The sequence below is a fragment of the Homo sapiens genome, chromosome 12, assembly GCF_000001405.40.
Source record: "Homo sapiens chromosome 12, GRCh38.p14 Primary Assembly".
Classification (NCBI taxonomy): Eukaryota; Metazoa; Chordata; class Mammalia; order Primates; family Hominidae; genus Homo; species Homo sapiens.
Genome location: NC_000012.12, coordinates 93,135,198 through 93,161,197, shown reverse-complemented (window position 1 = coordinate 93,161,197; position 26,000 = coordinate 93,135,198). Strand labels below are relative to the sequence as shown.

Below are 26,000 nucleotides of genomic sequence, written 5' to 3'. Positions count from 1 at the left end.
CTACTGAATTTGTCCTGCCAAGGGAACTCATGGAGATGTCTGTGTGAAGCTGTTGCCTTTGTGAAGCCACCTTCTCTGTGGCTCTTAGCCAAGTATCTGGTAGTAGGTCTTGGGCTGCGGGACCAGAATTTGGGAAGAACAGCAGGATGCAAAGCAGAGGAGAACAAGGGCAAGTTGGAATCTGTTAGGTACTTCTGTGTCTGTCACCCCATCTAACTTTGAAGAGCTTCACAGAGTAAAGAACTGCCCTTCACTTCCACATCCCAAAGTCTCACACAAGGTCTTCTCTTGGCCAACTTGGACCTGGAACCAGACAGGAAAGGGAATTCCTAGCTCAACCAAAGTGGTAATGAAATAACCTAGCATGTCAAGATGAATGTTAAAGCTATTGTAATCAAGACAGTGGAAGCCTGGGCAACACAGGGAGACCCTGTCTCTACAAAAAAAAAAAAAAAAAAAAAAATTAGCAGGTGCGGTGGCATGCACCGGTGGTCCCATCTACTCGGGAAGCAGAGGCAGGAGGATCACTTCAGGTCAGGAGTTCCAGACCACCCTGGGCAACATAGTGAGATCCCATCTCTACAAAAAATAAAAAAATTAGCTGGACATGGTGAAGTGCACCTGTAGTCCCAGCTACACAGGAGGCTGAGGCAGAAGGATTGCCTGAAGCCAAGAGTTTGAGGTTGCACTGAGCTATGATCAAGCCACTGCAGTCCAGTCTGGGCAATAGAATGAGACCCTGTCTCAAAACAAACAAACAAAAAAAAAAAAAAAAGAAAAAAAGAAATGTTTGTTGTAGGCAAAAAAAAAAAAAACAAAAGACAAAAACCCCCCCAAATAGAGTAATAGAACAGAAAGCCTAAAACCAGACCTATTCATATATAGAAATAACATGACAAAAATGACATTACAAATTCATTAATGATATCACAATATTTGGTTTCTCATATGGAGAAGTGATTGAAAAAACTCCTTACCTCACACTAGTCACAAAATTAAATTCAACATGGATTAAATCATAAAATCCTAAATGTGAAGAACAAACTTTAAAAACTTTTACAAATAAAATATAGGAGAATATTTGTATGACCGCACCAAAGAGAAGGATTGATTAAACAAGAGAAAAAAGAGTACAAAGAACGATATATTGACTAGATTCCAATTTAAAACTTCTTAACAAAAAATGTCATAAAAACAAAAAAGACAAGCCACAGACTAAAAGAAGATATTTCCAGCATATAACCACAAATGAATGATTATGTTCAGAATAGTTAAGTTAAAATGATAAGTCCTAGGGTAAGGAAAGGAATAGAAAATTCACAGGAGACAAGACTTGAATGGCCAATTCAAAATGTTAAAACAAGGCTCACACTTATTGAGCACTCACCGTGTATTATTCTAAAGGCTTTACTGAGTATTAACAATATATATATTATTCCAACTGCTTTGCATATGTTAACACACATATTCCTGGCAATGAGTGTGTGAGGTAGGTATTACGACCTTTTTTTTCTTCCAGAGAGGGAAAGTAGGGCTGAAATCATACAACTAGTAAACAGTAAAGCCAGCATTTGAATACTAGTGGTTTGGCTCTAAAATCTGAGTTCTTAACTACCTTCTATTTTATCAACTTGTTAAATTTAAACATTTGACAATACTCACTGTTGTTAAGGATGTGGCAGAATGGGAACAAGTGAACCCTGTTTGTTGGGGTGTAAATTGATATAACCACTTAGTTGGAGAGAAATTTGCCTTTACAAATTGAGGCTGTTAGGTCCATAGCCTAAAGTCATACCCATATAAACAAGGAAAATGTACAAGAATGTTTATTGCTGCACTGTTTGTAATGGTACAAAAATACAGTGTAAAATATTTATACTATGAAGTATTAATATGAAATAATCTAAGTAAAACCCTATAACATAATGTTGATTTAAAGAAGCAAGTTGGAAATGGATATATACAGAGTGTGATGTCACTCATATAAAATGTAAAAGTATGCAAAACATGACATGGTTCATATACGTTGTAAATTTATAAAACATGAAAAAATAAATTTAAAATTCAGGAAAATGGTTGCCATTATGAAGGGGAATGAAAGAATGAGATGAGGGATTTTGCAGGAAGGATCAATTGTATCTGTAATACCATATTTCTTTGAAAAATGAGTAAATAGGGCAAGATATTAAGACACAGCACAACTAGGTGGTGAATATATTCTATTCTTCTTTGTATTTTTAAGTTTAATGGCCTGACCCACATTTTTTATCTCACTTGTCATTCTTCCCCTCTTTCATATCGCTGCCTCATGGGGCCTCCTACCTTTCATTGAACAAGCTGTGCTTCCTCACACCACACTTTCCCTCACTTGGGAATGTCTTCTGTTTAGAAAAACCCTGTTCACCTTTCACGGCTTAGAATACTTCATTTAGAAAAGCACCTGAAAGTACACCCATGTTCATAGCACCATTGTTCACAATAGCTAAAGCATTGAAGCAATCCAAGTGTCCATCAACTAATAAATGAATAAATGAAATGTGGTATATCCATACAAGGGAATATTATTCAGCTGTAAAAAAGAAGGAAATTCTGACAAATGCTACAACATAGATGAAACTTGAAGACATTATGCTGAGTGAAATAAGCCAGTCACAAAAGTACAAATACTGTATGAGTCCAGTTATGTGAAGTACCTAGAGTAGTCAAATTCATAGAAGCAGAAACTAGAATGATAATTGCCAGGGGCTGGGAGAAGTAGGTGATACAGTTTGGCTGTGTCCCTACCCAAATCTCATCTTGAATTGTAGCTCCCATAATCCCCACATATTGTGGAAGGGACCCAGTGGGAGGTAACTGAATCATGGGGGTGAGTTTTTCCCATGCTGTTCTTATGATAGTGAATAAGCTTCATGAGATCTGATGGTTTTATAAAGGGCAATTCCCCTACACACACTCTCTTGCCTGCCGCCATGTAAGACATGCCTTTGCTCCTCCTTCGCCTTCTGCCATGATTGTGAGGCCTCCTCAGCCATGTGTAACTGCGAATCCATTAAACCTCTTTTTCTTTATAAATTAGCCAGTCTCAGGTATTTCTTCATAGCAGTATGAAAATGAACTAATATAGTAGGGAATGGGGAGTTATTAATGAGGACAGAGTTTCAGTTTGTGGAGATGAAAAAGTTCTGGAGATGAACGATCATGCCGGTTGTACAACATTGTGAACATACTTAATGCCACTCAACTGTACACTAAAAAATTGGCTAAAAAGATGAATTTTACATTACATATACATTTTACTATATTAAAAGAAGAAAGCAACAAAAGCAAGCTGAAAGGCAACTTATAATATTATTAGAAATCTCTCAAAGAGGAGGCAGAGGGAGACTGCCTCCCAGGTAGACGCCATCCAGCTTCAGCCCCTGTGGGCTTCTCTGTCTCCTCTCAACTTGTGGATGGATGTGTTCTGTTTTTCCAGTGGTATCTTTGCTTCTTCCTGTAAGGCAAACTCAAATTGCCACTTCTCCACTTCTGCTCCCTACCCATCACCCCAGTGATGACAGTAAACCCTGGGGTGCTTTCTCTCCTGTATTAGTCTGTTCTTACACTGCTATAATAAATACCCAAGACTGGTATAAAGGAAAAGAGATTTAATGGACTTACAGTTTCACATGGCTGGGGAAGCTTCACAATCATGGTGAAGTTGAAGGAGGAGCAAATGCATGTCTTACATGGCAGCAGGCAAGAGAGCATGTGCAGGGGAACTGTCCTTTATAAAATCATCAGATCTCATGAAACTTATTCACTATCACAAGAACAGCATGGGAAAAAACTGCTCCCGTGATTTAATTACCTCCCCCTGGGTCCCTCCCAAGACAGGTGGGGATAATGGGAACTACAATTCAAGATGAGATTTGGATGGGGACACAGCCAAACCATATCACCTCCCCTTCCAACTAGACCCAGCACTCTGAGCCCCTTGCCTTTCAGAGTGTATTTCTACCTTCTCCATTGATTTCCCTCCCCTGCCCAGACTTTGAGTATCTGTTTTCAGAGTTGTAACCTCACCTCATGTTCTGATTGCTTCCTGGGCCTGGCAATTTGATTCTGGCTTCTTGACTCGATTGTGAGTTGTAAGCAGGATTCACCCAGTGACTCTGCTTTGTAGGAAGGGCCAAGCCCTTTGCTGACTGGAACTATGTGACTCCATTTTATGGTTTATCAAATGTGGACTTGCTTGTTATTATGAAATCACTTTAAAGCCTTTAGAGTGATTTATTTAAATGCATATATATATATATATGTATGTTTGTGTGTGTGTATATATATATATATATGTGTGTGTGTGTGTATATATCCATTTGCTTGTGGATGCATAGAAAATGCCAGAAACTGATAAAAGAGGTTTCTAGAGGGAGGGCAGTCTTTGGATCAGTGCTGGGGCTGAGTGAGAGCAGAAGAAAAATTCCCTGTGAACTTCCCAACTTTTCTTCACCTTGAATTGTTTATAATAAGCATATGTCATTTTTATAATAAAAGTATATATTCACAGTGAAACACTGTGTTCTAACTGGTATAATAAGCTCTTAGTATTTGATCCTGAGAGTCCCTCTTTCAGAGGCACCATCAGTCACATACGCTGCTAGGGCTAATGTCAGCTTCCAGGGGAAATCATCGTTGGGATGTGCAATTTCAGATCTAGCTGGAGAGAGGCAAGGGCGTGGCTGCAAACCCCTTTTCTGATCTGAACAGGATATTTGTAAGGTAGTCACCGTGTGGCTGTGGAGATGAGTGATGGGGCTGCCATTCTGGTCCCGCCACTGCTTCTTCCTCTAAAAGCAATTTAGAGGAGAGCCAAGAGGAACAGAGCCTACCCCTTTAATTAGCCTGCGGAGCCAGGCAAGGTAAATATTTGTGACTGAAACAGCGTGGATCCATGGAAGCTGGGATTTTAGCCTAGAAGCCTTGTGCTGCCAAGTTGCCATGAGACCAGAAAGCTGAAGCTATGTTTTGCCTCAGAAAGTGCTTCTGAGTTGAAGAGAAGTGGGAAGGAAATCAGCAGTAGAATTAAGGTCTGTGTGTTAGATGAGGATAATAAGGGTTTGTCTATACCTTAGGTTAAAGGCACACATTTTACCCGTTTTTATTTTGTCTTTATATTGATTTCTTATATTAAAAAAAATTCAGGCTGGGCGTGGTGTCTCATGCATATAATCCTAGTAGTTTGGGAGGCTGAGGTGGGAGGGTCGCTTGAGCCCAGGAGTTTGAGAGCAGCCTAGGCAACAAAACAAGACCCTGTCTCTATAAAAAATTAGCCAGGCATCGTAATGTGCACCTGTAGTCCCAGCTGCTTGGGAAGCTGAAGTGGGAGGATTGCTTGAGCCCAGGAGTTGGAGGCTGCGGGGAACTATGATGGTGCCCCTGCACTGCAGCCTGGGTGACAGAGCAAGACCCTGTCTCTAAAATAAAAATAAGAATTTTAAAAATGACTAAGTCGGGTGGGAGCAAATCACCCTGGTTAAAAGAACAGCCTCTGTAAAGAAAACCTTCAATTTCACCTGCTCTGAATTTGAAAACCTAAATCCAGTAAAGTGACAGGAACATCACATATGTAATACTTTTTAAGCTACCACGGTGACAGTAACATAGCCCAGGGAACTTTAAAAAACAACAGTTTTTTATACTTGAGTAAAACTTGGTTTTATTAAATATTTTTAGTTGAATTTTCCTGCAAAGAAGGTTGCAGGGAAAAAAATTGAGTCATTTGTACCGTCACTGCCCCGTGGGGCAATAGCAAATGATATTCTCTCAGCATCCCACACAAATAGCACATTAGGCAATCTTTAGTGCTCTATATTATTTCCCTGAATAACAGCCATAAAAGAAGCTAAAAGGAATGCAAATATAGGTCAATGATAAGAACTCTTTTGTAATATGCAGTCTCAGGGGTGTGGGTAATGATAGTGAAGATAAAAAGTCCACAATGCATCCTGCTGCAGAATGGCTATCACTTGCACGTGAAATTTAAGCTGTTATTTACTACCTGTTCATTTAGCTCACCGCCCCCATTTTTTTTTACCCTGTATCTTTCTTCACTGTACTCCTTATAGCTTAATATTACATATTTATTTGTTTACTTGTTTTTTCTGCTACCTCATTAAAATGTAGCAGGGATCCCGCCCGCTTTCTTCACTGGAGTAGCCTATGTCCAGCACTGTTGCAGGCACAAAGTGGGTGTCAAATCGCAAACACCCGCTGCAAGGTGGGCGGGGATTTTGGAGATGAACTAAAGGGATGTGGAGGGACTGAGTCACGAAGGCAATGAAGGGGACTTGACTGGAACCTGAGGCAGTGGGGAGGTCACAGAAGGATATTAAACTGAAGCTGGAGGACGGTGAGGGAAAAGATCAGACTTGGTGTTTTACATAAATAACTCTGGGTTTGTTGTGGAGGAAGGATTTGGGATGGCAAATAGCCTGGAGTTAGAGAGACCAGTGAGGAGGCTTTTGCAACATTCTAGGTAAGTGGAGATAAGAGCCCAAGCTCGAAAGTTGGTAATAATGAGATGATAACAATAATTATCAGTACAGCAAAGTCTGCTGTATAGACAGCTAGTCATTACAATCCATTGTCTAGCCTGCACTTCCCAGCCTCCTTTGCAGTTAGGTGTGGCCATGTGATTATGTTCCGGCCAATGGGATTTGAGCAGGAAGAATGACCTCCGTAGAATTCTCTGGTACATACTCCTTCATGTTCTTTCCCTTTTCTGGCCAATTGGGATGGAGAAACTATGTAGTGAAGAAAACTGTGCATCTATCAACCTAAGTCCTTGTAAAACCGTGTAGACAAATGAGGAAGAAATATCTATTATATAGTCAAGTCATTGAACAATTTTAGGTCTGTTTGTTATAGCAGCTAGTGTTACCCTAATGAATTTTAGCACATGTATTTTTGCTAAGCATCATTCTTAATGCTTTATATATGATAACTCATTTAGTCTTCCCAGTAGTTTATTTAGGATCATTTTGTTGTTATTATCCTCAATTTGTAGGTGAGGAAACGGAAACACAGAGGGGCTGTGTAACCTACTGAAGATTACACAGCCGGGAAATGATGGAGCCAGGTTTCAGAGTTCTGACTCCAATATTTTAAGCAATATCTGATTGTGGAGCTGGATAGGAATTAATACTTTAAAAATATATACAGATGTTCCTTCCTTTCAATTAAACACTTTGAATTAAAATGAAACCTTAAAAAAGTTGAAATGGTCAAGCATAAACATTAATTAAAAAGCAAGTCATTTTTATAAGATAATAATATTTCGAGTAAAATGTAAATAAAACCACCTCAGGTGGGGTTTCCTGGAATCAGGCCCTGTGCCTAAGATTCCTATGCAGAAGCTTTATAGGGAAGAATTCCTTGGAAGTAAGGGAAGCAGGACTGGACAGAAGGAGAAGGTAAGCTATAATATAGCCAACACAGAGCCCATGGCGCAGGATGAGTCCTCAAGCTGGGATCACCCTTCAGAGTTATCTGCCATCAAGGCAAGGGGTCTGGGCTTCTGTGCTCTGCCTCAACCAGTCACTGGATATGGGCTGCCAGTTTGGAGGGGATGTGAGCTTGAGTAAGGCAGCTTCTTTGGAAAGAGAGTTAGCTGTGAGTCAGCACTCCCCTGCAGCTGGAAGAATGAGCATCATGCTCTTGAAGGATCTGAGTGGCGCATCACAGTATCCACCACAGAAATCGTGAACTACTCTATTTACAAATGTTCAGTTGCTCCAGATTGTCCCACTGGGCTTCAGACTCATGTAGCCCACTGTCTACTAATTGTGCCTAAAGCATAAAATATATGCTGCAGGGGGATTGACTAGAAATAGGATTTCAGGCCGGGCATGGTGGCTCACACCTGTAATCCCAGCACTTTGGAAGGCCGAGGCTGGTGGATCATGAGGTCAGGAGTTCCAGACCAACCTGGCCTAGATGGTGAAACCCCATATCTATTGAAAAATACAAAGAAATTAGCCAGGCGTGGTGGTGGGCGCCTATAATCTCAGCTACTCGGGAGGCTGAGGCAGAGAATTGCTTGAACTCGGGAGATGAAGGTTGCAGTGAGCCGAGATCGCGCCACTGCACTCCAGTCTGGGCGATAGAGCAAAAAAAAAAAAAAAAAAAAAAAAGGATTTCGGAGGTAAGTTGAGTTGGGGTGAAAGCCTTAAATGGTATGCCAGGGAGTCTGGGTCAGAGGGAAGCCTGGTGGCTTCATGGAGATGGATTAGCACAAGGATAGAGCACTGGCAAGTATATCATTCAGGAGCTGTTATAACAGCTCATTGCAATGAGGAGCAGAGTCTGAATCAGTATCAATGGGATGGAGAAGAAGTGCTGAACTTGCAAAATGTTTTAAAGGTTGTATTCAATGGCTTTGATAACTGAATGTGGAAGACGAGTTAATGTTTGAAGTAAAGCCCATAACTCTATATTGAAAGGCTATCAAAGGTGATGCTTGAAGAAAGATCGTGGTCATGTTCACTCTGTGGAGACATGTGGGGCCAGGCATGGTGGCTCACACCTGTAATCACAACACTTTGGGAGGCCGAGGTGGGCGGATCACTTGAGGTCAGGAGTTCGAGACTAGCCTGGCCAATATGGTGAAACCTCATCTCTACTAAAAATACAAAAATTTGTTGGGCATGGTGGCACACGTCTGTAGTCCCAGCTATTCAGGAGGCTGATCACTTGAACCTGGGAGGCAGAGATTGCAGTGAGCCAAGACTGAGCCACTGTACTCCAACCTGGGCAACACAGTGAGACTCTGTCTCAAAAAAAAAAAAAAAAAAAAAGACGTGGCATGAAGCCCTTGACTTTTTTTTTTTTTTTTTTTTTGAGTTGAAGTCTCACTCTGTCGCCCAGGCTGGAGTGCAGTGGTGCAATCTTGGCTCACTGCAACCTCCGCCTCCCAGGTTCAACTGCCTCAGCCTCCCAAGTAGCTGGGAATACAGGCACCCACCACCACGCCCGTCTAATTTTTGTATCTTTAGTAGACACAGGGTTTCACCATGTTGGCCAGGCTGGTCTTGAACTTCTGACTTCAAATGATCCACCCACCTCTGCCTTGAAAAGTGCTGGGATTACAGGAGTGACCCACCGTGCCTGGCCCCTTGACTATCTTTTTAATTGGCATAATAAAAATAAGTAACTCTCCAATTGGCTGCTTCTTTCTTTATTTTTTCTTTCTTTTGGAGAAACTTTCTGTTGCTTTCTCCGGTAACTTAAAATGAGTTGTGCTTTCCATCTAGCATTGGTTTCTTCATCAGTCTGCTTTAACAAAAAACTTCTTTCTGATATGCCTTTCTCTTTTCAGTTGCAAATCTAAGTGTACCAGAACAAAACATATGCTTAAAATAACTAAACATAAAGTTTTAAAGCACGTGCATGAAATCCATTTTTTTCTTTATTTCTCAGCAGTTCTATCATGGTCCTTATTAGAAGTTCTAATAACGGTCCTAGATTGTGGGTGCATCGAGAGTTGACATGAAGTGTGCTGGGCTTGGGGACAATGTCCGGTTGTTAGCAGTGGGTTGTTCACAGTTTTGTAGATAAACAAGATTGCTCATTAGGGCTGAGTCTGAATGACAATATTAAATCGCTTTGCACACCTGGTGAGTGTAGCTGTTATACAGCTCTGGCCATTGTACTTTGCCCTTTGTGTTTTCTGGAATAAAAGTGATTTTTCTGACCTGATTTAGACAAGATTAAAATCTGGCTAGCCTTTTGCATGGTATATTTTTGCCAAGAAATTTGAAAAATTTCTAACAGTGTAGAAATTTATTTAAAAAATGGAAAAACAAAAAGTTAACCATTAAGTGGGATCAAATTTGTGTAGCAAACATCCATGTTGTGTTTACCTGGATTAAATCAATCATTCACTTAACAAACATTTATTATGTAACTTCTCTGTGCCAGGCACTCTTCTAAGTGTGCCAAGAATACAGAGGTAGGTGAGGGAGATGAAATCCTTCCTCTCGCAGAACTTACCTTCCAAAGTTGGGAGACAGAAAATAAGAAATAATAAGAAAGCTTACAATGTTTGTAAGTAGTAGGAAGAAAATAAAAGTTGAGATTTAATTTGCTCTTCTAGCTCTTCCCTCTCATCTTAAGAGGCTTCCCTGGTGAGTAACTGGGTCTTTTATGGTCCTACGAGCAGGATAATGTGAATTCATATCTATTATGTAGACAGGCAAGTTGACAGACTCTGGAAATTTATTTGGGTAGGGAGGATGGGATTTTAAAACTTTGAGTATGAATGGATACATATGATTTAAACTCCTACCTGGGACTGTCACCTGTCATTGTCCACAAATACACTGTTTAATATTAATAATTAACTAATTTAAAAAAAAAACTATGGTGGGCACTCTTTAAACCAACTTCTACTTAAGAGATTCATAGAGGGAACCAGCATCCATTCCCTCTGTAAGGCTTGGGCTGGTGCTCAAAACACACTGAACAGAGCTGTCCATCTGTCCTCACTGATCCCTTTCTTCTTTGAGGAGTTGAGTTTTGTGCTTTATGAGAATCAGAATTGTTTGTTCCCTGACATATTTGTGCTGGTTTTACTTGTTATTAAAATTATGCTATTTACTTTAATATTACTTTAATAACATGAGGGTGAAGAGAGAGAGAATTATTAAAATGACATTTAAATGGAATGCTTTGGAAAGACTAATGTTAAATTAGTTAACAGTAAGAGATTAGGAAAAATAATAAACTCTACAGTATTTTGCTCATGAGTGTCTTTAAGTTCTGACCCCCTACAAAGAAAGAAAAGTTGGAAATGAAAAATGAGATCTTATGGGTGTGGTTTAGGCCAGAAAAGGTGGTATTGGACCCTTGCCAGTGAATCTATAGTGAGGGAAAGAACCATGGCCTTCCACCAGTTTGGTAAATACATTTATATTTATTTAATTTAAAATATAATGTTTATGGGCCAGGTGCGGTGGCTCACTCCTGTAATTGCAGCACTTTGCTAGGCTGAGGTGGGTAGATCACCTGAGGTCAGGAGTTCAAGACCATCCCGGCCAACATGGTGAAACTCCACCTCTACTAAAAAATACAAAAAAAATTAGCCGGGTGTGATGACGCATGCCTGTGATACCAGCTACTTGGGAGGCTGAGGCAGGAGAATCACTTGAACCCAGGAGATGGAGGTCGCAGTGAGCTGAGATCACACCACTGCACTCCAGCCTGGGAAACAGAGCAAGACTCCATCTTAAAAAGATTAAAAAATAAAATAAAATACAATGTTTATGAAACCACCTTTGCAAAGATTACAACAGTGAGAAAAGTCTAGTATGGCTGACTCCATCTTGCTTCTAGCCTCACAGGCTGGCTGTCCTCATTCATTCCCAGGTGTAGGCCAAGCTGTCCATGGGAGGAATTTAGTGTATAGTTTAACTTTGAAACAAGGATCATAATAGTACCTACCTAAAACTGATCCTCTCCTTGTTCAGGGGCTGAAACTGCCTTTGCAAGACTAATGAAAAGCCACATGATTAGGATTATGGAAGGGGCCTGGATTCTGCTAAGGTATAGGCAGAGTTTCTATCATCTCTTACTGCTAAGGAGTCATGTGGCCAGAGGTCACAAGATTTATGACTTCCCCAATTGCTCCTATAGATAACATCATTATTGTAGAACCTAAGATTGGTCTTTTGAGATGTCTTTCAGGGTTTTGCATTCTGGCAATCTACTAACCCCACCTGGACTTGTGACTCATGACTCAACCTGTCCTGTGGCCCTCACGCAGAGGCAGACTTAGCACATGAAGATAATTTTTTCACATTCCTCTGATTGCATCCCCAACCAGTCAGGAACACCCATTCTCTAGTCCCTGGCCCACCAAACTATCCTTGAACAACCTTAGCCTCTGAGCCTTCTGGGAGACCAACTTGAGTGATAACGCCAGTCCTTCCACTGGGCAGCCCTGCATTAACTAAACTCATCCTTTATTCCGATACCATGGTGTCAGTGAATTGATTTCTTCTGTGCATCAGGCGGGAAGAACCTGTCGACTGATTACATTTACAACATAAATGTATCCCCTTTTTTTTTTCTTGACTGACATTACTGATGAGCTCATTAATGAGCAGTTCTGATTGTGTTGAGTAAGATTTTCAGTGTTTTGTAAGGTATGTGCTAAGCGCAGCAGGTACTCATGATGCCTCCATTCAAGGAGCTCAGGAGTATTATCCTAATATGATTAGATAAAGAATTTATGTGCCTGACAATACTTCTTTTACCTGATCCAAATCTCCTTTCTCTCACGTGCATAGTGGAAGCATAGAAAATATTTTCACTTTTTGGCAGCACCTTTCCTTTGAGAATATCAAAGCTCTTACAGGGACAAATTTCTAAATAAGCAATAATGCTCATATTGCCCTAGGGAGGTGGATAGAGGTATTTATGATCCTCTTACCGAGGATGTTAGACCAGTGTTGAGTAGCTAACAAATACCTCCATGCTGACTCTCAGGAGAATTATGTTTCTGCTAATCTCCCTGCTGCATTGCGTCCTGTTCCCTCTTCTGAATAATTCCCAGTATTACTGAGAACTCTGTGAGCATGAAAAGAGCACTTGTCTGTGAGGCAGAACACACAGGCTCAGACCCTGGCTGTGCTACTAACTGTGGCACTGTGGACACTGTTGTCAGCCCCTCTGTGTGTGCCTCAGTGCCTTTATCTGTAAAATGGGAAAGTCAGTGCTTATGATACCAGAGACCCGATTGTGGTAAAGGAGTGTTTGTCAAAACAAATATGGACGTGGTAGCCGCAGATAGGGAGAGCAACAGTGGTCTGTAGGTCTCCTTCTCTTTCCTTTATTCCCATTTCAGAATTCCTGCTTTCTGTTATGATATTTTTGATCATGAGTCGATTTGTAGGTTCTGGTTTACACATTCATTATTGAGACCAGAAATGAAAGTGTTGCCTCAAATTCTCTGATTCTAGTTTAGCCCACCTACCAAACTTGATTATTTTCCAATGATGGTCCTAGACTCACAATAAGAAATGCAAGGAAAGGGTTGGATTACAGTTGGGATAATGATCTGTTCTGCTCTGAACTGCAAGACCCCATTAAGTGGTGTTTTCTAAAGGTTTGAGTAACTCATTTTTATCTCTTCACTTATTCATGAAGATACTGCTGATAACAGTAAAAGAAAAAAGTAAAATGTACTAAATTTCCAACAATAGGGAATTGCTCAGGTAAATGATGTTATGATGGAAGGCTACTAATAAAAGATGTAGATGAATATTTATTGGCATAGAAAGATAATTGTGGTAATTAAATGAAATATTAACTTCAAAAGGGCAAATGTACAACATAATTCCACCATTATTAAATATATGCATTTGAATCAAACTATCTGGAGGAATGTTCAGTGGATATCTCTGGGTGGCAGGATTACAAACATTTAAATCTTCCTTCCTTACACTTACCTGTATTTTCTAATTTTTTTGTAGTGGATACATATTGTTTTTGGCAAAAGAAAAAAACTGATTTAGGTTGTATAAAATCCTATTCCAAAAGCTATTTGTAGGAATGAAGAAAAACATTTTGAAAATAAGTAAGTGCCAACTCTAAAAAATTAATTAAGCAGGGAAAAAATTTTAAATAGCAAAAATGGTGGGAAGGAATACAAATAGAAATAAACATAAATAGCAAAAATGAATTTCATTCTTTTTTAAAAGGATAGAGTCATTTAATGACAAATGTTTGAAATAAACCAAGTATCAATCGCCAACCTGTTTCTTCTTAGCTGAATTCTACCTGAAAGTGCTTCTAAAAGGGACTCAGAGCCTGGGAAGTAAACAGGATACTTTGAAATGTCCAAATTAAATAATCATAAGTTGCAACCTAATCTGATTTTTTTCTTTTTTGAGTTGCAAAAATATCTCTTTAAAATAAATCAAGTTCTTAGACAGAGGGCAAATATATTTATCTTTCCAACCATAATAAAAGCTGTCAGTTGTCAAATGCCTTTTATGCACCCATGTGTCAGATACTTACAAGTCTTTCCTCAAATTCATTAAATTTAATGGTTGGTTTATTTAATCCTCACTGTTTTAGGAGATAGGTATTATTGTGTTCATGTTATAGTTGCTGAAAACCAAAACTCATACAAATTAAGTTTCTTTTCTAACTCTTAAGTAGTAGAACCACATGGCCTTTTTTAAAAATCAGGTAACAAATATTTATTAAATCTACTTTGTATTAGCATTGTGTGTCGTGTGCTAAGAATAATACCAATGAAAAATATACTGTGGTCCCACCGCTTAAAGAAGCTTATATTCTAGTTGAATGACATGAAGCAAAACATTGCAAAAGTGATGAATCTCACAAAATAGGAAACCCAGGATGTGAAGGGGCAGGTAATCTGGTTTGTGACATCTGTCCTGTGGTCAAGACATTTAAACTGAATTCTGAAGCATGAGTAGGAATTAACTAGGCAAAGAGTGGTCGTGGAAGATGATTTCTGGTAGAGGGAAGGGAATGTGCTGAGGCACTGAGATGACATTTTGCTATAGCAGTGTGCTACAACCAACTATCCACAACTCTAGTTTGAAACAATAAGCATTTATTCCTTCCACATGGGTCTGTGAGCCAGCTGCAACTGGTGGGGCTTGGCTGGACTCCAGGGTTCAGGTCTCCCTTGTGTGTTACTCATTCTGTGTTGACCAATAGCTTCCAGGAACATGTTTCTTACATAGCACATGACAGGAGCACAAGAGCCCAAATGGAATCACACAAGCACATTTAAGGCCTCTTAACATGTTCAGGAACACTTCATTGGCTAAAGGAGGCCACATGGCCCAGCCCAAAATCAGTGGGATGGGGAAAATATTTTACCCATAGCGGATGGTATTTTGGAAGAATGTAGATGAATGTGGATACATTATCTAATATAGGAAAGATGTGAAAAATTGTGAACAATGATTCAGTCAACCACATCTAGGTTTTTCAAGGAATCCATTGCCAATATGGCTAAAGAATAGTGAGCCAGGGAGTGACAGTACTAGTTGATTTTATAATTGTCTGTCCTGGAGAATTTCTTCTTCTTCTTCTTTTTTTTTTTTTTTTTGAGACTGAGTCTCACTCTGTCACCCAGGCTGGAGTGCAGTGGTACCATCTTGGCTCACTGCAACCTCTGCCTCCCAGGTTCAAGCGATTCTCCTGCCTCAGCCTCCCGAGTAGTTGGGATTACAGGCGTGCACCACCACACCCGGCTAATTTTTGTATTTTTAATAGAGATGGGGTTTCACCATGTTGGTCAGGCTGGTCTTGAACTTCTGACCTCGTGATCCACACGCCTCGGCCTCCCAAAGTGCTGAGATTACAGGCGTGAGCCACTGCACCCAGCCGGGAACTTCTTATTATAGAGAATATTTTATATATGTATAATTTATATATATAATATATATTTTATATATATATAAAATAAGCATTATACATATATAAGAAGCACAAAAATATGCTTACTTCAAAAATATATATATGTGCTTACTCAAAAAATATATATATATGCTAACTGCAAAAGCTAATAACTTATCGAACTTCTACTTGAACTTTATTCCCAAAGAGATGAACACACTGAAATAACATGATTAACCCACAAAGCTGATATAGTGTCCATTGACTTAAATGTTCCTCCTTAGTTATGTGCCAAGCATTGGGTCTCTGTGTAACAGTAGCACATTTAGAAACTTTGCCTCAGAGGCAATTAAACCAGCTAAACCAGATTTGAACCCCTGAGCAAACAGCATTAAATTTGGTTGCTGCTCATTCTCCTGGAATGAAGGTCAGCTATTTCATACGCAGTGAATAAGCCAAACCAATCATAAAACGTGAGGAAACATCTCATTTGGCTATTTTACCTCGTGAAATGTGATCTTCTATTTGGTCAGATCATTTTTGATAGTGTTAAAAGAATAGTTCAGTTTATTTTTACCCATTGCTCTACGGATACATTCATTTGCTTTGTAAGTCCTTAGGGCTAATGCCTGAATGAACAGGTGCGGGGACAGGAGTTGGCCAGATATAAACTTGCACAGTTCATGTGCTTAACAAGCACTGATTTTTTTTAACAAAAAGAAAATTCACTTAATACAGACAGCCAGTGCATTATTAGCTATCGTGGTATATTCTGCCACAGAAAACTATATTAGTTTCAATTGAGGTGATTTTTTTTTCTCTTACAGATAAAAGATTAAATAGAAATCACTGCCTCCATGATGCCTCTGTTCTGGAGCCTTTTTTTTTCTTCATCTATTAAAACCTCAATTTTATAATCTTCAGGATTTAAAATAGAATCTATTCGTTTTTCTGACAATACTTATTTCCCATAAAAATGAGATTTTTTTGTTAGCTAGCTCACAGTAAATTTTATTGCATGTGCCATTTCAAAGGAAATCAGAGGTTCTAATAAGTACAATGGATTTGGAACAGTTCCTTGCCCCTCATTTTTTCAGTTATGTAAGCCTCCTGCTTAGTTACATTATTGTATTTTATTACTCAGCTCACAAAGCTGCATTTAAGAAAGATTACAATTTTCTGGTTTCCTCTTCTGAGATACTTTGATTCATCTTCTTTGAATACAGCTTTATTTGTGTTTTCCTGCTGTTTAAGCCTGGGACCCTTTCACAAGTCAGCATACTTTGTATATTCCAAGTAACAGCACCATTAAGAGAGGACGATCCGTTACACATTCCCTAAGAGAAGATGCAAGAAATGGAAGGAAAAATACCTTGACTGTTAGAGACAGATGCACTCCCTAATTGCTTCCTGATGGTTACTTTTAAAGGAGCTATGGGAATCCACAGATGTGTGTCTGTTGAGGTGTCTGTCATTCAGTGAGTTTAAGAGGCATTGATTTCCATGAGTGAATCATGGGGCTTGATTACAGAGAACTGGTAGACCAAGCTCAGGTTTAATTCATGAGTTCTGTTCACAGGTCTGTCACTTCCCCTTGGGCTATTTTTGCACACCCAAGAAATGGATTTACTTAGTTTTTTCTTCTTATAAAAATGAGGTAACAATATTATCTTTACAGCAGCTTTTAAATGTTTAAATATGCCCAACCAAATAACATTTTTAGTTGTATTGCAATGTTAGTAAAATTAATGTGATGAATATTTCTTACCCAATTTCCCTCCCTCCCACAAAACTGACCTGTTTACCTAAACTGACCAAATTAACTGACTGTTTTGCCATGGTATAGACCCAAATTCTTAGTAGAATTACAACCCTAATTGATATGGTCATCTGGCTCTTACACCTTGAAAATGTTTAGACGTTTAATATCAGCTGATACAGTTTTCTTTAAAAATGATAGGATGATATCAGATCATCTTTTTCAGGATGGAATGAGATTTAAATGAAAATTCAGTGTTACTGAATTGAATCACGTAGTTTTATATATTTTGTTTATATATAAATCAGCTTGTTATAGTGAGAGAACTTGAAGCTTTAAAGACCTGAATATGAATTTTGATCCTTTCTAGTTTTTGATCCTCCAAAACCCAACCATATTGAATGTTAATTATAAAATGAGCCAATACCTGTTCTCCCTACTAATATGTGTTTATGAAACACAAATGGTGTAATGGGTATGGAAGTTATTTGAAAGTTGTAAAGGGTCACACAATGGGATTTAAAAGAAAATTTAGACACAACCTGCTTTCATTGTTACTGTTTAGCAACAGTTAACTGTTAATTGTTTTGTATATTGCCATTTCTGTGCTGCTGTTACACAGAGGCACAATGCTTGGCACATAACTAAGGAGGAACATTTAAGTCAATGGACACTTTATCAGCTTTGTGGGTTAATCATGTTATTTCAATATGTTCATCTCTTTGGGAATAAAGTTCAAGTAGAAGTTCGATAAGTTATTAGCTTTTGGAGTTAGCATATATATATATTTTTTTGAGTAAGCACATTTATATATTTTTTGAAGTAAGCGTATTTTTGTGCTTCTTATATATATATATAACGCTTACCCAGTTTCTGGGCAAGACAGGAAGATAAGAAAAAAGGAAAAGGAGAGAAAAAAGAAATAAAAGGTTGTATCAGCATATTTAATCAATAGACTAAATAGAATAAGAGACTTCAGCAGAGATGATGAATACCTGATCACTTTTAAACAATTGTTATTGTTTTTCTGTTTGTTTGTTTTGCTTTTTTTTTTTTTTTGAGACAGAGTTGCCTAGGCTGGAATGAAGTGGTGAGATCACAGCACACTGCAACCTTGAACTTTTGGGCTAAAGCAATCCTCCCACTTCAGCCTCCTGGATAGCTGGGACTACAGGTACCCACTACCATGCCTGGATAATTTTTAATTTTTTTTGTAGAAACAGGGTCTTACTATGTTACCCAGGCTGGCCTCAAACTCCTGGCCTCAAGTGATCCTCCAACCTCAGTCTTCCAAAGTGCTGGGATTACAGGCATCAGCCACTGTGCCTGGCCTAAGAATTATTATTCTTTATCAAAACCATCTCAAAAATATTTTTTAAAAAATAAGATATGATTCCCAAACTCTAAAGTATGTAGGAAATAACCTATCAAAGAACTTACCAAGAAAAATTTAAAACTCAGTTGTTGCTTTGAAGAGATCTGAATACATAGAAATATACACCACATCTTCGAAATATAAATATGTTAATTTCCCTCACAATTAACCTATACATTCAATGTAATTTCAGACAAAATTATTACAAGTCTTTTTTTTAGGACTTCAACATACTTACTCTAAAATTCATATGAAGGAATAAATGTTCATGATGCCTAAGTCATTTTGAAAAAGAAGAGCAAAGAGAAGGAACTCACCCTTCCATATAAAATCAGTATGGAACAAGAACATAGTAAAATACATCTAGGGAAAGAGCAAAGAGTGAGAGCCAGACCTGAGTCTACATAGGAACCTGCTTTGGGATAAACATGGCACCATCAATCAGTGGGGAAGGGATGGATTGCCTAAAACCTACTACTTGGTAGTGGAGAAACAGCTCATTCGTTCACTATCTCAAGCATATGCCAAAGAGGAATTCAGTGCAAAAGTAAAATTACAAAGCTAAAATATCAGAGGTGTTAAAGAAGGTACTCATTACACAAACCATAAGTTGAAATTATTGTTATTATTATCTTTTGAGATGGAGTCTCACTCTGTTGACCAGGCTGGAGTGCAGTGATGCCATCTCATCTCACTGCAGCCTTTGCCTTCTGGGTTCAAGCCATTCTCTTGCCTCAGCCTCCCCAGTAGCTGGGATTACAGACTTGTGCCACAATGGCCAGGTAATTTTGAATTTTTAGTAGAGACAGGGTTTCACCTTGTTGGCCAGACTAGTCTCAAACTCCTAACCTTAAATGATCTGCCCACCTCGGCTTCCCAAATTGTTGGGATTACAGGCATGAGCCACCATGCCTGGCCATAAGTTGAAAATTTGATAGAGTTGACTATATTTTAAAAATTAAAAATTCTGTAAAGGGTAGATACAACAAGCAAAGTTAACAAAAAGGTGACAGAGTGAGAAAAGATTTATAATATCTAAACCTATAAAGAATTAATATCTAGAACACACCAAGAAGACTCAAGGGATTTTTTTTTTTGTAAAATGGAGATAATAATAATTGTAGAAAGTGACATGCTCAGCACAGAGCCTGCAGTACAGTTAGCACATTGTTTGCTATTACTAGTTTATCTATTCTTATACTCTGTGACAAAACACATTTTGTGTGGAGCCATTATGTATGGACCCCAAATTTCTGGTTTCTGCATGGTCTTATGTTGCCAGCTTATGGAGTTACAGAGAAATGTATGTATGAATATCCGGTCAGTCTCAATATCCACAAACCCTGTTGACAAATGTCCCTAGATACTCCAGTGGTTAAAAGTGAGGAGAGTAACAGTGGCCATTCCTGTGACACAGAGGTGAAGAAAACACTGTGTTTGCCACTGTAGCTATAAAACCAACTACGATGACACCTGCCAGGTGACGTTGGGAGAAGAATATGTTTTGTGGCTTGAGGTGTGAATCTTGTGACTGTCATATTCCATCCTGCCTGAGGCTGTGCCCCAAGGGGGCTGTGCCCGGAGATGGAGAGGCTGGGCAAAGCTGCTTCCCAGGCCTTAGATCTTTGTCCAGGTGTTGCGCGTGGCTGTGGTAGGTGGGAGGGCTGAGCGGGCCAGCCACTTTTTGCTGGATTTACTGGGGACTCACTCCCATACCCAAGGGCAGATTGGCTATAGAGAGGTGGTTTGCTCACTGCCAACCAAACCTGCTCTCTGAAAGCAGAGCTTTGTCTTTTTCTGCTTTATGACCTCAGCTTTGGAGAAGGCTTTGGCTCCCCAAGTGTGGCCCAAAAACTTGGATGATGATGCACGGGGTAGAAGGCAACAAACGAGCTGCCCTTGGTGGCAGTGACCTGAGCTGGGTCCACTCCTTGGGCTTGGGTGATGAATACAAAAAGTCAGCCAAGACCATCCTGCTGATAGGGAAAGAAGGACTCATGATAACCCTGTACCAGGTACTGCCACACAGACTTTCTCCTTCAATCCTCTGCAAACTTGTGAAACTCTTATCTGTTTTACAGATACAAAAACTGCAGCTCAGAAAGGGCAAATGGTCTGTCCAAAGGTACCCAGTTTAGAAGTGACCCACTGGAATTTGAACCCTAGGTCTGTTGAACTCTGAAATTTATGATGTTTTGTTTTGTCTTGTTGTTTTTTTTTTTTTTTTTCCCACTTCACCACTCTTTATATCTGCAGAGTGCAGTAGGGAGTAGGTGGAGGTGGGATGAATACCATGATAGGCCCCCGTGAACCCAAATCTGTGGCTTGATGGACTCCAGGGAAGAATGTATAGCTAGTCCCATCCTTGTCTGATCTTGGCAGATGCTTCAGTGAGGTTATAGAAAGCTAATTCCACTTCCCAGTGCTCCATTTGAACATGTGCTCCTATGCTCAGCTGGTTTTAGGTGTGGCTTTGGTTTCTGAGCAGAAACTCTCTTTCCATGAAATAATGACATCCTTAAGGTGTTGTGCTTTGCTTGTCGTTCAGAGAAGACAGCACTTCCAGGAAATGCACTATACAATATGGATGGATCCCCTGTCCAGAGAGGAAACCAGGCGCACCCTTCACTACAGGAAAGAACTTGCTCCCTGACCTGCCAGCCAGGTGGAATTTCATTTCTTTGTGCTCTCGGGATCTGGTGCTTTGAAGAACTGGCTTCATTAGCCACTAACAGAGATGCACTTGTCAAAACATCAGCAACTGACTTTTTTGTGTGTGCTTAAGAGATCACAGATATTTTTGTACTGGTGCTATCAGAGGTTGGAAGGATTGCTATAGCTACATGTTCTTGCCCCTCTCTCTAAGGTCTATGGCAATGAGTAGCAATGATAATAATTATGATAGTGATAATAGCAAACCATTCACTATATGTTTTGTGCTGGGCACTGTAGTAAGTTCATTTTATGTTCAAAACAACCTTCTGAAGTATGTGTCATTTAGGATTCATTTGACTGCAAGTGGCAGAAACCCAATTTCAATGGTTTAACCAATGGAGGGATTTATTTTTCTCATGTAATAGGAAGTCCAGCTGTAAGCACTTCAGAGTGAGTATGCAGGCCCCATGGTGCCATCAAGAACCCAGTCTCTTTTGCTGGAGGCTTGCTTCCTCATGTATGCAGCATAGCTGTTCTATTTTGTGCTTCACAACTAATTTTTAGGCAGGAAGTATTTGAAAGAAGGGAGAAGCTAAGTAGCACAAACTGACAAGGTGAATGCAAGCTGGATGTGTGCCCTCTAACAGGCTTTCTCAGAAACTCCAGCTGGTACCTCCACTTGCAGCTCCTTGTCCAGAACTGTGTTGCATGACCACATCTAGCTGCAAGGAAGTTGGGTAATCCAAGAGCATTTAAGTGAGCCCCTTGTTAGTAAGAAAGAAAGGAGAACTAGCTATTGGTTCCATAACCAGTCATGCCTAGCTTAAGTAGTTAATGTTTGTTCAAAATTTACAGACAAAGAAAGTGAAATTGGAGAAGTTAAGTATTTACCAAAGGCTATCTAGCTAGGGAGTGATGGAGCCCAGATCCGAATCCAGGTATGTCTGACTCCAAAGCTACATTCCTAAATGCTGTTTAGAATTTGTTCCTGATGGTTGGTGGTGTTTGGGCTGTACAACGGAGGACTTAAGGGGGCTCTCTTATGGGACAGGAGGGAGAATTGACTTTTCAGCTTCTTGAGAATAGTGCTAAGATCATTGTATAAAAGATATGGAAGGCAGATTTTGGTACAAGGTAAGGAAGTGATTATTCACAATTAGTAATTAACTGGTCTATGGGCTGTGTAGCTAACTCTATGACCAGGAGCATTTACATAGCTCAGAGGAGATTCCTTAACTGACTGGGAGTTTGGGCCTATTGTAAGTTCAAGATTCTAGGTCCATGAAACAAAAGTGGCTGAGATAGAATCATCATGATGAAAAGAGGGCTTTTGGTTTCTGCATAGGTGCTTCCTGATTTGTCAGTTAGAGTGACCATATAATTAATTTATGGTCCAAACTGGGGCATTTTTTTAGAGTAAAAAAAAGATTTATTAGTAATTATGCTGGGACAACAGGCAAACACCAGAATCATCATGGACCGAGTGGAAGCCACAGCTACCCCAGCCATGGGCTCCTGATGGATAATGGAATGGGGAGACCTGGGCTTCATAGGAACTGACAGCTGGGTAAACATCCAGAAAAGACAGACACCCCCAAGGCAGACCTTCCCAGTTCCATAGGCTAAACCTCCCAAGAGGCCCTGTCTGTGATGGGCTTCGGTGACAGACGTTAAAATCTGATGGGCAGGGACAATGAGTGACTACTGAAAACGTATGTCTGACACAGCCCCTCAGGCCCTGAGTCTCCCTTAGTGTGACTCATTTTCAGAGACACTGAGCTTAGGTAACGCCATGTGTCTTACTGAGTCATGAACCCAGCCCATTCTAGGCTGGGAAGGCAACTGGATTTTACATCCCCTGATATCCTTCTCAGCTTTTAAAAACTGCTCTTCTGATTTGCTCCATGACCTTGGGCAAGTCACAACCACTCTGTGGTTTGGCTTCTCCTTTAGTGGAAATAAAATGGAAATAATAGTTATGCAAGAGGAAAAAATTGATTCAAGAGCTTCCAATGAAAGTTGCCGCATACAGCCAAGTGATATTATTATTTTCATGACAGTTATTAGCAGAGCTGCTTCTTGTCCCATCCCCTCTCATTAGGCCACAGGGCATGGAATAAACACAGGTTTGGCCAGTGACTGGTATTTGATGATGTTGGCACCAGAGATGAAGGGGAGGAATTTCTCTCTGGCTTGTGTTTCACTATTAACCTCCTTTTGCCTGGATCTCAATGCCTGCTAGTATGGAAACTGGAAATCTGTGAGAATCTCAGCTATTTGTCTCATAGCAGAGGCAGCCTATTCAGAAAACCATTTAATAATGATGCCATTACAATATTGTCTTTTTTCTTTCCTTAATTCCTTTATTCAATAAATATTGATTGGGCATGTCTGTGTGCCAGGTTCTGTTTCCCAAGGATAGAGCAAGAGGCATAATGACAGCATTAAGCTTTTCAATGTTTGTTGAATCAAGGAATTTATAAGATGTGAAGTTTGGAGAGCTGATCTCCTGCTGCAAACTTGCATCTCTCTCGTCTATCCTGATCCCTGAGAGATATTTCTAAAAGCAAAATTGCTCTTGTTACCCATTTCCTAAAGGAGCAAAACTGAATTTCTTTTTTTTCTGTATTATTATACTTTAAGTTCTAGGGTACACGTGCACAACATGCAGGTTTGTTACATATGCATATATGTGCCATGTTGGTGTGCTGCACCCATTAACTCGTCATTTACATTAGGTATATCTCCTAATGCTATCCCTCCCCACTTCCCCCACCCCAGAACAGGCCCCGGTGTGTGATGTCCCCCTTCCTGTGTCGAAGTGTTCTCATTGTTCATTTCCCACCTATGAGTGAGAACATGCGATGGCAAAACTGAATTTCTTAATATGGCACAGAAGAACCTTCAGGGTTGGCCTCTGATCACCGTTTTGTCTCTTCTCTCACTGAGCCCCTTTTTGGACTACAAGTTTCAGCTATTACGACTTCCCTACAGGTTCCTGAATATTCAGCTCTTTCATATCTCTAGGCCAGAGGGCGGCAGACATTTACTTGTAAACGGCCAGATAGTTAATATTTTTGGTTTCCTGGGTCATGTGGTCTCTGTTGCAACTACTCAATGCTGCTATTGTAGTGTGAAAGCAGCCATGGAAAAAATATAAATGCATGAGCATGGCTCTGCCCAAATAAAACTTTATTTACAAAAACAGGCAGCAGATGGGATTTGGTCCACAGGCTGTAGTTTGTTGATCTCTGCTTTAGGCTTTTGCTCATTCTGTGGTCTTTTACTTGTCTACGTTAAACTCCTTTCATCTGACCAACGCCCATTCAATTGTCACCTCAAGTCTGAGATCTTGCCACACTACCCTGGGTAGAACTGGTCACGCATACCACTGTGTTCTGTACACACCACCCTGACAAGTAACAGAAAATTAAAGCTGTGTTTTCTCCCATAACCATATTATAAGCTTTATTTATTCATTCATTCACACATGCATATATTCACAGATCCATTCATTTAACAACATTTAACAACCACCCACTATGGGGCAGAGCTGATGACTTTTTAGTCTTTGCACAACACCCAGTGAAAGTATAACACATAAAACTTGCTTAATACATGCTTGTGAAGAAAAGGAGATAGAACTCAATAAAAAAAAGTCCACTGCCAAAGATACATCTGCATCTTTGTTGTAAGTGCTCAGAGGTGGGAAGTTGTCTTTATTGATTATGAAGCCTCTCCACTGTGTGGAGGGGTTTGGTCAGTTAATTGTATTTGGAACTTTTCTTTTAAGGTTTCTGTCATCCGGCCTGGAATAGTTTGGTGGCTCCCACCTGTTGTCCATTCTTATCCCTTTTCCTAGAACTCAGGGTCCTGTTTTCTGGTGACATCTTATGGCAGTACTAAGAGTAGTAGCACCAACTTCTAAACTCCCATCGGGGCAGGTAACTGACTTACGTGAGTTTGAGGTTTACCAATATAGTGCAGTGTGTTTCTTGTTTTTACTGTTATTTTTAAGTAGGAGATCTGTTTTTTCCATTGCTCCCTGAGAAAATAGGGCTATCTGAGCTAAAGAGCTTAACCAGCTCGCAGCATGGGGATAGTGAAATAGCTTCCTTGCAGACTCTGAATCTTTTGTTTGTTTGTTTTTAATGTCCAGTCTCTGGCTCTTTTAGAGCAATTTAAAGGTAAATGTAAATATGAAGCTTCTTGATTACTCATATTACAGAAATGATTTCATGGTTTTATGAGCCAAAAAATATTTTAAGTAGGGCTTAAATCATTTTCTTAAATTTACAACCCATTCTAAATGTAAACAGAATTATATTTAATTGGTTGTCACCAATGGAACCAAAATGACTTCATTTGGTTTCAACCTGGTCAGATATAGATTTTCAATGGTTACCAGGAAGGAAATGTGTTTATAATCAGAGGCAGAGAAAAGGAAATGGTTATAGCTGGTTACAAAACAAGCATAAAACCTCCACACTGTTTCTCATGTTACAAGAGCAAATAGGAAAGAAGCCACAAATGGGGATGGTAGCACAGAGTGTGTGTTGGGTAAACACTAGAGAAACGGGAGAATGTTCTGGGTCTCTGCTTTTTTCATTATAGAAAGGCAGCAAGGGAAGCCGCTGAACAGAGTACAAGGCTGTCTGCTTACTAACTCACCCTCACAGGTAATAGAAAATCAAATTCAAGTTCCATTGTGCCCAGGGGCTCTTCACTGATACATCAGTAATGTGCCTGCCCTGACACTTTAAGACTGGTTACTCTTATGAGGAAACT

The 26,000-nt window shown here is 39.7% G+C and overlaps 1 long non-coding RNA gene across 1 annotated transcript in view, besides 2 other annotated features; it reads left to right on the top strand.

The window, feature by feature from the left end:
• The window catches only part of LOC643339 (uncharacterized), a 373,979-nt gene that overhangs the window by 216,539 nt on the left and 131,440 nt on the right, over positions 1–26,000 (top strand). The window lies entirely within an intron of this gene.
• Positions 19,105–19,265: a silencer, noted in NCBI's record as "fragment chr12:93535709-93535869 (GRCh37/hg19 assembly coordinates)". NCBI's record gives its function as "represses an EF-1alpha promoter that drives an FKBP-Casp9 reporter gene in an ReSE screen in K562 erythroleukemia cells {active_cell/tissue: K562}" and the evidence as "EXISTENCE:reporter gene assay evidence [ECO:0000049][PMID:32094911]".
• Positions 25,738–25,807: an enhancer, noted in NCBI's record as "active region_6763". NCBI's record gives its function as "activates an Ori minimal core promoter by ATAC-STARR-seq in GM12878 lymphoblastoid cells {active_cell/tissue: GM12878}" and the evidence as "EXISTENCE:reporter gene assay evidence [ECO:0000049][PMID:35858748]".